At 45.0% G+C, this 12,059-nt stretch overlaps 1 protein-coding gene across 4 annotated transcripts in view, besides 1 other annotated feature; it reads left to right on the forward strand.

The window, feature by feature from the left end:
* The window catches only part of KIF25 (kinesin family member 25), a 47,421-nt gene that overhangs the window by 14,113 nt on the left and 21,249 nt on the right, over window positions 1-12,059 (forward strand). For all 4 annotated transcript variants that reach the window (NM_030615.4, NM_005355.5, XM_047418749.1 and 1 more), the window contains one exon: window positions 6,190-6,257. The gene's annotated coding sequence lies outside the window, so the exon portion shown is untranslated. The remainder of the gene's footprint in view (window positions 1-6,189; window positions 6,258-12,059) is intronic.
* Window positions 467-1,383: an enhancer, noted in NCBI's record as "H3K4me1 hESC enhancer chr6:168412930-168413846 (GRCh37/hg19 assembly coordinates)". NCBI's record gives its function as "activates a minimal SCP1, AML or CMV promoter by ChIP-STARR-seq in primed H9 embryonic stem cells {active_cell/tissue: H9 hESC(primed)}" and the evidence as "EXISTENCE:reporter gene assay evidence [ECO:0000049][PMID:30033119]".

Below are 12,059 nucleotides of genomic sequence, written 5' to 3' on the forward strand. Positions count from 1 at the left end.
CTCTTTCTGGAATGCCCATAATACAAATATTGATTCACTTAATGCTGTCCCATAAATCCTGTGAGCTTTCTTCATTATTTTTTATTATCTCTCTTTCCCTCTGTCTGCCTGTGTTATTTCAAAAGACCTGTCTTCAAGTTTAGAATTTTTTCCTTCCTATTTGGTCTAGTCTGTTGTTGAAGCTCTCTATTGTATTTTTTATTTCTCTATTATATCATATATTTCATTGAATTCTTCAGCTCTAAGATTTGATTCTTTTTTATAATTCTGTCTCTTTATTGTATTTTTCATTCAAATTATGAATTGTTTTTCTATGTTCATTGAATTGTCTGTATTTTCTTGTATCTCACTGAGTTTCCTTAAGATTGTTATTTTGAATTCTTTTTCTGGTATTTCATATATTTCCTTATAATTAGGTTCTGTTACTAGAGGATTATTACTTCCCTTTGGAGGTTACATATTTCCCTGCTTTTTCATGGTTGCTGTGTCCCTAACATTGACTCCTATACATCTGGTGAAAAAATTGTCTCTTCCAATTTTATGGAGTAGGTTTCAGGAGGAAAGACTTAGGGTGCATGGTTCTAGATGGACACAGCAATGTAGTCTCCATATTGTTCCTTTAGCTGTCATACACACTAGTGGTGTTTGTGAGTTTCTCAGTGGCCTACAGTGAGGGAGTCTGTGGTAACAGTGATGCGGCTTTTCCAAGGGTAGGCTCTCAGGCTATATCTCGGGTTCGGGATACACACATGCACACGGTAGGTCACCCAACATGGGGTCTGGCTCATTGGAGTTGGAGCCACATGGCTGTTCCTCCGGCCAGAAGCATGGGCACACAGTTGCTTAGCTGACCTGGGAGTGTGCCTGCCAGGAGTGACTTGTAGGGTTGTTTCTCTGATCCAGGACACCGACACAAGGCTGCTCAGCTCGTCTGGGGTGTGTCTGCTGGGGCCAATTCAAGGGGCTGTTTCCCATGTCTGGGTCACAGCTGCGTGACTGCTTGGCTGGCCTGAGGGTGTGTTTGCCAGGGGCTGCCCACAGGGCTGCTTCTCAGGCCTGGGACGAGGGCACATGGCTGCTCAGCTGGCCTGAGGTATATCTGCCAGGGGTGACCTGTGTGGCTGTTTCGTGGGTTTGGAGTACAGGTTTCAGGCTGTGTGGCTGGCCTGGGATGTGTCCACCAGGGGTGAACTATGCGGCTGTTTCTTGGGCCTGGGGTACAGGTGCAAGGCTGCATGCCTGGCTCGGGGATATGCTTACTGATGGTGGCTGAGAAACGGGGCTGTTTCTCAGGTGCTTATTGGGCAGGTGAGGAGCATGTCTGTAGGGTGTTGGGGTACTGTGGGGCTGTTTCTCATGTCCTGAGCACAGGTGCCCAGCCCCTCCTCTGGCCTGGAGGTGTATTAGCCACTAGGAGGCTCAGGTGCCTCTCCTGCTTGGGGAAAGGTGAACAGCAGCTTGGCTAACTCAAGGGCAGGGTTGCTGTGGGTGGGACTGCCAGGTTCCTCCAGCTGGTAGGGCAGTGATGGGGGTTGGTTTCCCTGCTGTGCAAGGCCGGAGTCACAGCTGATCCTGGGCCCGGGATCCATGCAGCTGGGGTTGTGACGTTCAGCCACCCGTGTAGGCTTGGAGTCATGAAGATGGAGCTCCAAGGCTGGAGAATGGCTGTGGTTTCCATTCCCCAGAGCAGGGTATGCTCCAGAGGTGGCTCTGGTCTCAAGATGGGGCTGTGCTGCAGCAGCTTGGCTCACAGGGATGGCTGGGGGGTGAGCAGTGCACACCTTGTGCTCCTAATCTGGGGCCATGGAGCTGTGTCGTGAATTCTCTGCAGCTCCCAAATGGCTGAGGGCCTGTGAGGACTGCAGGATTCCCCTGCTGTAAGGACTGTAGGTGTTTTCTGTGGGGGCTGGTGGGGATCTGCTGCTTCCCTTTCCCTGCAAGGGGAAGTCCCTTCTGCCTGGGCAGATCTGACCCAGGCAGGGGAGATGGGGCTGCAGAAGCCAGGTGCCTCCCCTCTGCCTTCCTGGACTTCCGGTCAACACAGGTGCCTCTCCACTCCCATGCTGCACTGCACACTCTGCCAGATCTTAGCTCTCTTCCTTCCACATAGTCCGAGCTCAGCTGTGTAGTCATTGCCTTGGTCCTTTCTTGGGCAGAGGGAGCTGAGCACCAGCTCTCTCTCATCAGCGTCTTGCTGACTTTGCTCCCACCATGCAAATATATATATATATATATTTATCTCACTTGATGCCTTAAGCACCAGTATTCTTGAGTCAAACAAAAGGAGACAGATTAAATCCTCATGATCAGGACTTCGTGTTAACAGGAGCCCTTGGGACCTTATCAATCCCCTCCTGTTATAAGTGAACACACAGAGTATTTGTGGTTAGTAATTGCCTTTCTACGCTTCCCTGTTTGCATCCTGGTTAACCTGAAGGAGTTTTTCAGTGAGGAAATGCATCCTGAGGCTGAGGCCTGGCCCCAGCCCCTGGGGAAAGCTTATTATGATTATTAACATCACTGTTTGTTGTTACTGTTCCTTGTTACTTTATTCATTCTCTTGGCAGTCCTCTCCCGTTCCTGCCAAAGTTCCACCGAATCTTCAGATTTGGATATTTGAGGTTTTCCATCTTACTCGTCAAAATAGAATAAAATTTTATTGGGACATTTTGGATTCTGTTTTTAAATCAGAATCCAAGATGTTGCTTTTTAATTTGATAGGCCTGTTCATTGAAGGGCTTCATGCCATCAAATCTGCTGAGAAAGCAAATGATCCGTTTTGTGACCTTGTATCTCCTGGCTCCCACGTTATGTTTTTATTTCCAAAAGTCTAAAGAGAGTTTGAGTTTGTATTGGACGTGTAACACGGCACTTCATTTCCATTTGCAATCTAACTCAGCATTTCATCGTTTGGATTCAATCTATTAATAAAGTCGATCTCAGATGGAGAATCTGGCTGCTGCCCTAGTTCCTGGTAGCTGTCTTAAAGGCTATTTATTTTCATTTTTCATTTAATTTATATCCACTCTGTTGATAATCAGACATGGGAGAACAGATTTCTGGCTTTGTATCAAGTTCTTGTTGGACTGTCTTTGTTCGTCCCTGATTCTCCCTTATTGTTAAGTTTGACAGTTACTGACCTGAATGTCTGAATATAGTCAACAGAGCCTATGTATCAAATGACACTTATTTAGTTACATGCAGCCAATGTAAAGCATATTTTTCTGGTGGTGCTTGGCAGAACTGATAGATTTGATACACCTGAGACAAAATTTTTAATGGTCAGAGACTGTATGGTCCTTAATACATTACTTGTTCTTTTTTAACGTGGGTTCGCTGGGCCTTGAACCACCATCCACAGGACTGATGATATCCACAGCAGGCAGCCTTGGCTTGCACGGAGCTTGTAGATGTGCAGTCCCTCCCTCCTGGCTGTTTTGTGTCTGCCTCTGGGAGAGTCCCTGACTCTGTCTGCATGTTGCTCACGGGTCTCCTCTTCCTCTCAGGTTTCCTTACTTAAAATGGAGAGGGTGAATTCAATGTACTTTTAGCTCTAAAATTTGATGGCAAAGAATTTTATGCCCCAAGTGCTTTTAAAGTTATCCTAGGAAATTGGATATAAATAAAAAACTAGATGCTACAGCATGTAAATGTAAGGAAAACAGTTTTTACTGATCATTGCCTCTGAGCCAGGTGCTTTTCACAGGCTGTTTCATGGGAACCTTGTGATTCCAGAGGCAGGGGCCATGCGTCCCCCATGCAGTTGTGTTCAGGCCTCTTCAGGGAAGTGGCTCCAGATGGGCAGTCCCATCTTGAAAAGAAGGATGCTGTCAAGAGCTTGAAAATTTTGATAAAAGAAAGTTGTTTAAAAAGCCAAGAGAAATGAATCCTTCTTGTGAGATTAAGGGTATTTAGTATCATGAGTGGGGAGGGTTTTTGGACAGGCAGGAACGCATTGAAGCTGTTTGGAAAAACTAAACTTTGCTGTGGAATAATTTCAGATGTTTAAAATCGAACGATCTCACTGTGGAATGAAGTTCTAAATAGCATGGGGACCCTTTGGACTCAGGCTTGTTTTTATGGCTTTGCACGTTTCTTGTATGGTGTCCCTTGAGCTTTCGGGTTAGACACTGTAGACCTTTGTGGTTTTCGTTTGCTTTTCTTTATGGTTAAAGCTTGGACATTTGAAGACAGCAGTAAAACACTCTGGGGTGTGTGTTCCTGTACGGTTCATACTGGAGCACTAGGATTACATTCTGGCATAGCATCAAAGGAACGGTCCCCGAAGTGGACAGCAGAAAAATGAAAATATGCCGCGAGAAAGGAGCAAAGGGCCTAGGCTGGCGGTTGGATTAGGGACTGGGAGGTCTGTTCTTATGGCGAGGCCAGGGGCTTGGTCCTGGCGGGTGTCGGAGTTTTGCTTCGGTGTTTTGAGCGTGAAGGGAACTGAAGAGCTGCTTCTGGCTTAGGGGATGTGACATTATCATGTAAGAACATGCAGGTTCCGAAACAGTTTCTGGTACACAGTGACTGCCCAGTAAATACTCAGCAGAGACATAAGCTTCTTCTGTGAAAGCCGTGCCGGAGCACGAGCACGCGCAACCTCCACATCCTGGTGGTCGTTTCTGTGCTGCGATGGAGACCACGGACCGCCCCAGCCACCGGCTGCTCCTCCCGGCATTGCCAGAGTCACTGTGGTGGGGCCTGCATCCCCACCCACTCTCCCAAAAGTCATCCCAGGAAATTGGATACAAATCACGGTAGCAAGTGACCTCCCAGTCTACCAAATCCAATAAAGAGTTTTAAACAAGGACCCAAGCGACCTCTCCCCAACAGGTGGCATTCTGCGTCACCCACTCCCTCCCTCTTAACTTTCTTTCTTTGGCTTCGGTGACTTCATCTGCTTTCTTCTTTTCTAATTTGCATTTGAGAAAGATTTCTACAGCAACAACATAAAGGACAGGTGGGAGGGGTGCTGGACTGGAGGCAGAGGCCAGTTAGGGGATAGCCAGGGCGCTGTTTCATTACACTGGACAATAGCAGTGGGCATGGGGCAGGGAGCAACCCAAGGCTGCCTACGAGGCACAGCCGAGGCTCTGTCCCCAGGCAGCGCGGGGCTGAGGCTGGCGTTCCGTCATTGCTTCCTGAGCTGCCCCACTGAGAGACACGCCGGGGATTCCCACGGCCTCTCACCTCTGGCAAGACAGGACAGGTTCACTATTTGATTATCTCAGCATTTCACATCGGAGACCTCACAGAATCCAGAGGCAGCAATAGTCCGGCAGCTGCCCACGACTGCCCGTCCAGCAGTAAGCGAGTAACAAACAGCAACAACAACCACAAACAGCTGTTGAATCTCACAGCTTTTGTCTTTATAAAATAGGCCACTTCTTTGACATGTTATTGCAGACACACACACACAGACACACACACTACTAAGAAGAAGGTGTGGAGGTATCATCCTAGCATCCGCTAAACACTGTTATGGAAAAAATCCAGTGCCTCTGGGTTATTCGCCACTGCAGTTGTGGTTTTCATTCTCCCTATCACCCCTGCTATTTCATGAATACACATTTTGTTTTAGAACTGGAACCAATCCAGGTTCATCTTTTCTTTGCTTAAGTGAAACTAAACTAATTTCAGATTTCTTGCTGAAAAATGCCTTTGCTTCCCTTACACAGGATATAATTTAAGAATACAGTCCAGCAAGATCGAAATTTGTTTTTGAAACAGACATGTTAGTTCCACTGGTTACGATGGAATATAATGATGTCTGAGATGTGATTTTTTTGCCATTTGAAAACCTCTCCTGCGAACTGTCAAGGGCCCTTAGAGTCAGTAATTTGGGTGTTGAACCCTCAGCCTGTGGCAGATTGAGGAGCTCTGTTGTGTGTTCCCCAGTAGATGCGACTTTCTTCTTCTCTTTATGGGGGTCGGCAAACCTTTTTGGGAAAGGGCCAGGGAGTTAATATTTTCGTCGTTGAAGGCCACGTGGTCTCCAACTCAATCATCCAGCTTTGCCCTTGAGGAAGAAGCAGCCATACACAGTCTGTAAACAAAGGACGGGGCTGTGTTCCAGGCAAACTTTGTTGTTTACAAAAACAGGCGGCAGGCTGGGGTTGGTGGGGCTTGTGTTTAATTAACGCAGCACACAAAGTCTTATGACGTCGTTTTACTCTTTTCTCTCAGGAAACAATTCTGGTGAAATGTGATCGTCCTGGCCACCCTCTGATTGATAAGACATATCATTTTGAAAGGTAAGTGCTTTTCAAGATGTCCTATAAAGCAAACTTCCATATTAAAAATACAAATTTTGCATTGGGGTTTGAGTAATGAAATATGTAATTTATCCTATCATTTGACTAATTGTGATTATAAATACAGACGGTCCCTGAGGTAGATTTTTCAACTTTAGGAAGGTGTGAAAGAGATACACATTCAGTAGACACTATGTCTCGAGTGCCCATTACAACCCTTCTGGTTTTTGCTTTCAGTACAGTACTCAGTAAACTACGTGAAACAGTCAACACTTTAGTGTACAAGCTTTCCATTTGGTGATTTTGCCCACCTGTAGGCTAATGTGTGTGTTCTGGGCACACTTAAGGCAAGCTAGGCTGAGCTACAATGCTTGGTAAATTAGGTGTATCAAATGCATTTTCAACTTGCAATATTTTCAACCTACAATGGGTTTCTCAGGTCACAACCCCATCATAAGACGAGGGACATCTGTAATCCATATGTTCATTGTTTTAAGTAAATAGACATTTTTTATATATCCAGTTTGTTGATAGTAATTTCGTTGTGATGATAGCAACTAACAATAGGGCTTTCTGTCAGATGCCTTCCTCGGCACTGGGTCGTGGTGTATTCCCAGGGTGGTAGGAGAGCCCCGGAAGGCTCAGAATCAATGCGCGTGGCCTTTGGAAAGCCCTGCTCATCCTCCTTCAGCTACCAAGGGCTGGCTGAGTGGTCCTGCTCCCAGGCTCTGTCCTCCTGCTCCTCGGAAGGACGTCAGTGCCTGAGGCCTCTTCCTCTCCCCGGCAGCAGCCTGTGTCGCTCGATAGGGTCACATCTGGAGAAGGGCAGAGGGTTCCCCTCAAGCCTCCGCTGAGCACTGACCAGCACAGGAGCGGTAAGAAGGAGGAGGCCAGGAAAGAACCACCGGGGAGGAGCCCGGGAGAAAGTCTGCAGAGCTCACACAGGCCTGGGAATTGTGAGTGCTCCCGCCGGGGCAGAAATACCTCGTGATACACAAGGCCTTGGGTAGAGTGAGAAGTTAGCCCTGGAGTAAAGGCTGCTGGTGCCATGCGGCAGAACTTAAATGCAAGCCTCGAGGGGTCAAGTTGTTTCCAAGTAACTGCTGGCATCCCATAATAAAGCCGAAGAAAAATTACTGGGATTGGAGGGTCAAAACATGGCGCACCCAGTTAGGAGTAATTAGCAAAGTCTGACATCAAAAATTACCAGACATGATTCAAGGAAGTAGGAAAATATGACCTCTGATGAGAAAACTCAGGCAACGGAAATAGAGCGAGAAATAACACAAATGATAGAATTAGTAAAGAAGGTGAAAACAGTTGTTATAAATCTGTGTGTTCAAGGAAGTAGAGGAAAATGTAAACACGTTGAGTGGAGATATGAAAAATTATAAAAAGACCCAAATAAAACATCTGGAGATGAAAAAAATGCCATAGAGGAGACGCGAACGTACTGGTTGGGATGCAGGAGAAAGACGGGTGAGCTTGAGGCCGCAGCAACAGAAATGACCAACGTGAAACCAGGGAGACTCCATAGCGAGTGGACAGAGTGGGCTCCGGGGACGGCTGGGCTGACGCAAGCCCCACAGTGCGAATGAGCTTGAGGCCCCTGGACGGCACACTTGAAATGGTGAAAATGTCAATTTTGTTATATGTATTTTTTTACCACAATTAAAAAGGAAGTGAACAGAGCATCATGGCGCCATGGGACCATGATGTATTGGCTTCCAAGAAGCCAAATACAGCGGGAGTTGCAGTCCCAAAAGGTGACGGGAGTGGGCGCTCAGAGAACATTTGAAGAAGTCGGCCGGAGGTGGGGCGCGGTGGCTCACGCCTGTAATCCCAGCACTTTGGGAGGCCAAGGCGGGTGGCTCACGAGGTCAAGAGATCGAGACCATCCTGGCCAAATGGTGAAACCCTGTCTCTACCAAAAATACAAAAATTAGCTGGGTATGGTGGTGCACACCTGTAATCCCGCTGCTTGGGAGGCTGAGGCAGGAGAATCGCTTGAACTCAAGATGTGGAGGTTGCAGTGAGCTGAGATTGTGCCACTGCACTCCAGCCTGGTGACAGAGTGAGACTCCATCTCAAACAAACAAACAAACAAACAAACAAACAGAGAAACACCAGAGATAAAATGACCAGAGTGAAAAGACACGTTGAAGACTCAGGGTCAGACATGAAAATGACCTTAGGCTTCTCCACAGAGCAATGCAAATCAAAAGATACAGGACCAGCACCTCTAAAGTACGGAAAGAGAAACAGTCCATCCAGAGTTCTGTGCCAGTGAAAATGTCTTTCAAATACAAAGACATTTCCAGACATGGGAAAGCTGAGAGAATTAATCGCCAGAGACACACCACAAGGAGTGTACAACGGATTCTGTCCTGAAGGACATGTGGGCATATGCAAAAGACGCTTTTTCTTATTAAAAAAAAAAAACTCTTCCAAATCTAGTTAACTGATTAAAGAAAAATAACAATGGATTGTGGAGCTCATGACACATGCAGACATAAAATGCACGTGAGCAACAGTGTGAAGGCTGGGAGTGGGCGTGCAAGTGTACTTTCGTATGGTCCTTATTTGGTATGTTAGGCGATAGAATCCGATTGCAGGCAGCCTCTAAGTTACATATGGTAAACCCTAAAACAACCACCAAAGACAATAACAAGCTAGAGATATATACAATAAGCTAACAAAAAAAGATACATGGAATTATAAAAAATCCTCAATCAAAAATAAATGTCAGGAAAAAGGGAAAGAGGATTTAAAAGATGGAAAAAGGAAAGGGATGGAAAAGATATATTTACCTGAATGCTAACATTAATCAGAGGAAAGCTGTTCTATATCTCAATAAAGCTATTTTAAAAACAAATAAAGGCGGTCAATACAATGGCAACCCAAATCATAGCAGGATGTTTTGTAGAAACGAAAAAGCTGATGATAAAATTTATATGGAAAGGTGAAGGAACTATAATAGCCGAAACAACTTGGGAAAAGGACAGAGTTGGAGGACTCACACTACCCGATTTAAAGACTTAAAATCATTAAGACAGCGTGATAGAGGCAAACCAACAGACACATCATCAATGGAACGGAGAAGAGTTCAGAAATAAACCCACACAGATGCAGGCAGCTGACTTTAATAGTTTTACTCTTTTAATGGTGGGGGCTGTCCTCTTAATTTATAGTATTCTGAGATATCTACCTTCCATGTTGTTAAGAGAATTTTTCTGGAAGAGCAGGAGAAACCCATTTTCTATAAAATATCTGTCCCAACATCAAAGTCATCAAAAGAAGCAGCAAGAACCGACCCTGCCTCCCCAGCTTCCGCTGCTTCAGAGGAGAAGCTCCCTCGAAGACAGATCATGGTGAAGTTTTCCCCTTTCTCTCTGCTTCAAATGACGCACGAGTTTACATACTGTGCTAACCTATTTCTGTTTATACAATTCATGTGCTTTTATATATAAAATTTATAATTGTAGAAAAATATACCTGACATAAAAGTTTACCATTTTAGCCATTTTTAAGTATACAGTTCAATGGGACAAAGTATGATCTGGTGCAACCATCACCACTATCCATCTTCACAGTGTTTTTTGTCATCCAATCCTGAAACTCCAAACCCATTAAACACTGAATTGCCTGTCTCCCCTCCCTCAGCTGCTGGTAGCCACTGTTCCATTTTCTGTCTGAGAAGTCTTATCTAAGGCATCTGTGCATTTTATCGAAGTCTGGTAGGGAAGGGATGTTCTTTGCAATAAGCCATTCTGGAAATTACAGATAGTGCTGGGATTTCTTAGCCTTTGCGGTCGTTCAGGATCTCAGAGCATGGGTAAAGTTCAACGTTATCAATTTTTTCTCTAGATGCTTTTAAGAGTTTTCTCTCTGACTTCAGTGTTCCAAATCAAAGTGAAGCTGCACTGTTTCACTCGGCAGTTGCTGAGTTTTTTGTTTGTTTTATTTTATTTTATAATACTGCTTGGGACTTTTAATCTTTGAATTAATGTCATTCTTTAAGTTGAACAATTATCAGGCAAAATCTTTTTAAAAGTACTTTCTCTCCTTCTATCTATATCCTTTTAATGAAATTCCTATTAGATATAGATTAGACCTTTTCATTCTACCATCTGTGTCTCTACCATTACCCGCTTTTGAGATGATCGCCTTCCTTGTATCTCTCTGCTGCATTCTGGGTAATTTTCCTGTGACAATCTTTTAATTAATTCACTTATTCTCTCTTCATCCATGGGTAAACTTCCATTTAACCCATCTGTTTTTCGTGCTTGTAAATTATTTGGCTCATTTTTAAATCTTCTTACCCTTTTAAAAATAGTCTTCCATTTTCCTTATGTTTTGTGTTCCTTATTTTGTATCTTTACTGATTTATTTTTTATTTTTTAGTGACAGACTCTCACTCTATCACCCAGGCTGGAGTGCAGTGCTGCAATCATAGCTCTCTGCAGCCTTGAACTCTTGGCCTCAAGTGATTGTCCCACCTCAGCCTCCCGAGTAGCTAGGATTACAGGCATGACTTTATTCATGTTTAACATTGTTTTCTTAAGTCTCTTTCAGAATGTTCTATTGTGTCTGGTTCTTGTGGCGGCTGCTGTATTACTTGTATCTTTGTTGCCACTGACTGTAGTGATTTATTTATTTTGTGTTTTATAAGTTTTTACTGCGAACTTATCTTTGGTGAGGAGTTTTTTTGATTGTTTGTTGTTGTTGTTTTTTTTTTTTTTTTTGGTAGGAGACTTGTGTACTCTTGGCTGTGGGTTTGCAACTATGATTTTTCCTGCAAGGGCCTGGGGTTTCACAAAAGTTCTGAATCAGTTTTCAGGTAACGTTTGTGGTTTGTGATTTCTCTGCCCTGTGGGCTCCTTGCATTTGGATTCTGTGCTCACTTGCGGTGCAGGTGTGAGGCTTTGATTGCTCACAGGAGACCTGACTCCTCATCTAGACTCTCAGGCACGTGGAATACTTTCTTACCACTTATCTGGACCCCCTTTTCAGGGACTAGGCCTATCTTTGAGTGCCCTGGACTTGCACAGCCATGGCACCTCCATGTCCTGCCTGCTGTCTCCAGAGGGCAGAAAACCCTGCCTTGTAAGCCCTGTTGCTTCTGTCTGGATTGGTTCCTCAGCCTGGGTGCTTGCAGTACCAACTCAAGCCTTCTACCCAGCCTTTTTCCACTCTTCATTTCTTGCACCTAGGAAGTTTCCTTCTTCCTTTTTTTTTTTTTTTTTTTGAGGAGTCTTGTTCTGTTGCCGAGGCTGGAGTACAGTGGCACAATCTCAGCTCACTGCAAGCTCCACCTTCTGGGTTCGAGCGATTCTCCTGCCTCAGCCTCCCAAGTAGCTGAGACTTCAGGCATGCACCATCACATCCGGCTAATTTTTGTATTTTTAGTAGAGACAGGGTTTCACCATGTTGGCCCAGCAGGTCTTGAACTCCTGACCTCAAGTGATCGGCCCACCTTGGTCTCCCAAAGTGCTGAGATTACAGGCGTGAGCCACCATGCTGGCTAATATTTGTATTTCTAATAGAGACCGGGTTTCACCATGTTGGCCAGGCTGGTCTTGAACTCCTGAACTCAAGTAATCCATCCGCCTCAGCCTCCCAAGGGCTAGGATTAAAGGCGTGAGCCACCGTGCCCAGCCAGTTTCCTTTCTTTCTTCCCTTCAACGTCAGCAGCATATTTTAAAACATATTTTGTTTCTATTTTATCTGCATTACTTACATGTTGGTTAGGGGAGAGAAAGGGAGTTGTATCTTAGCCACCATGTGTCGCGATCTGGTGCT

The sequence above is a fragment of the Homo sapiens genome, chromosome 6 (genome assembly GCF_000001405.40).
Source record: "Homo sapiens chromosome 6, GRCh38.p14 Primary Assembly".
Lineage (NCBI taxonomy): Eukaryota > Metazoa > Chordata > Mammalia > Primates > Hominidae > Homo > Homo sapiens.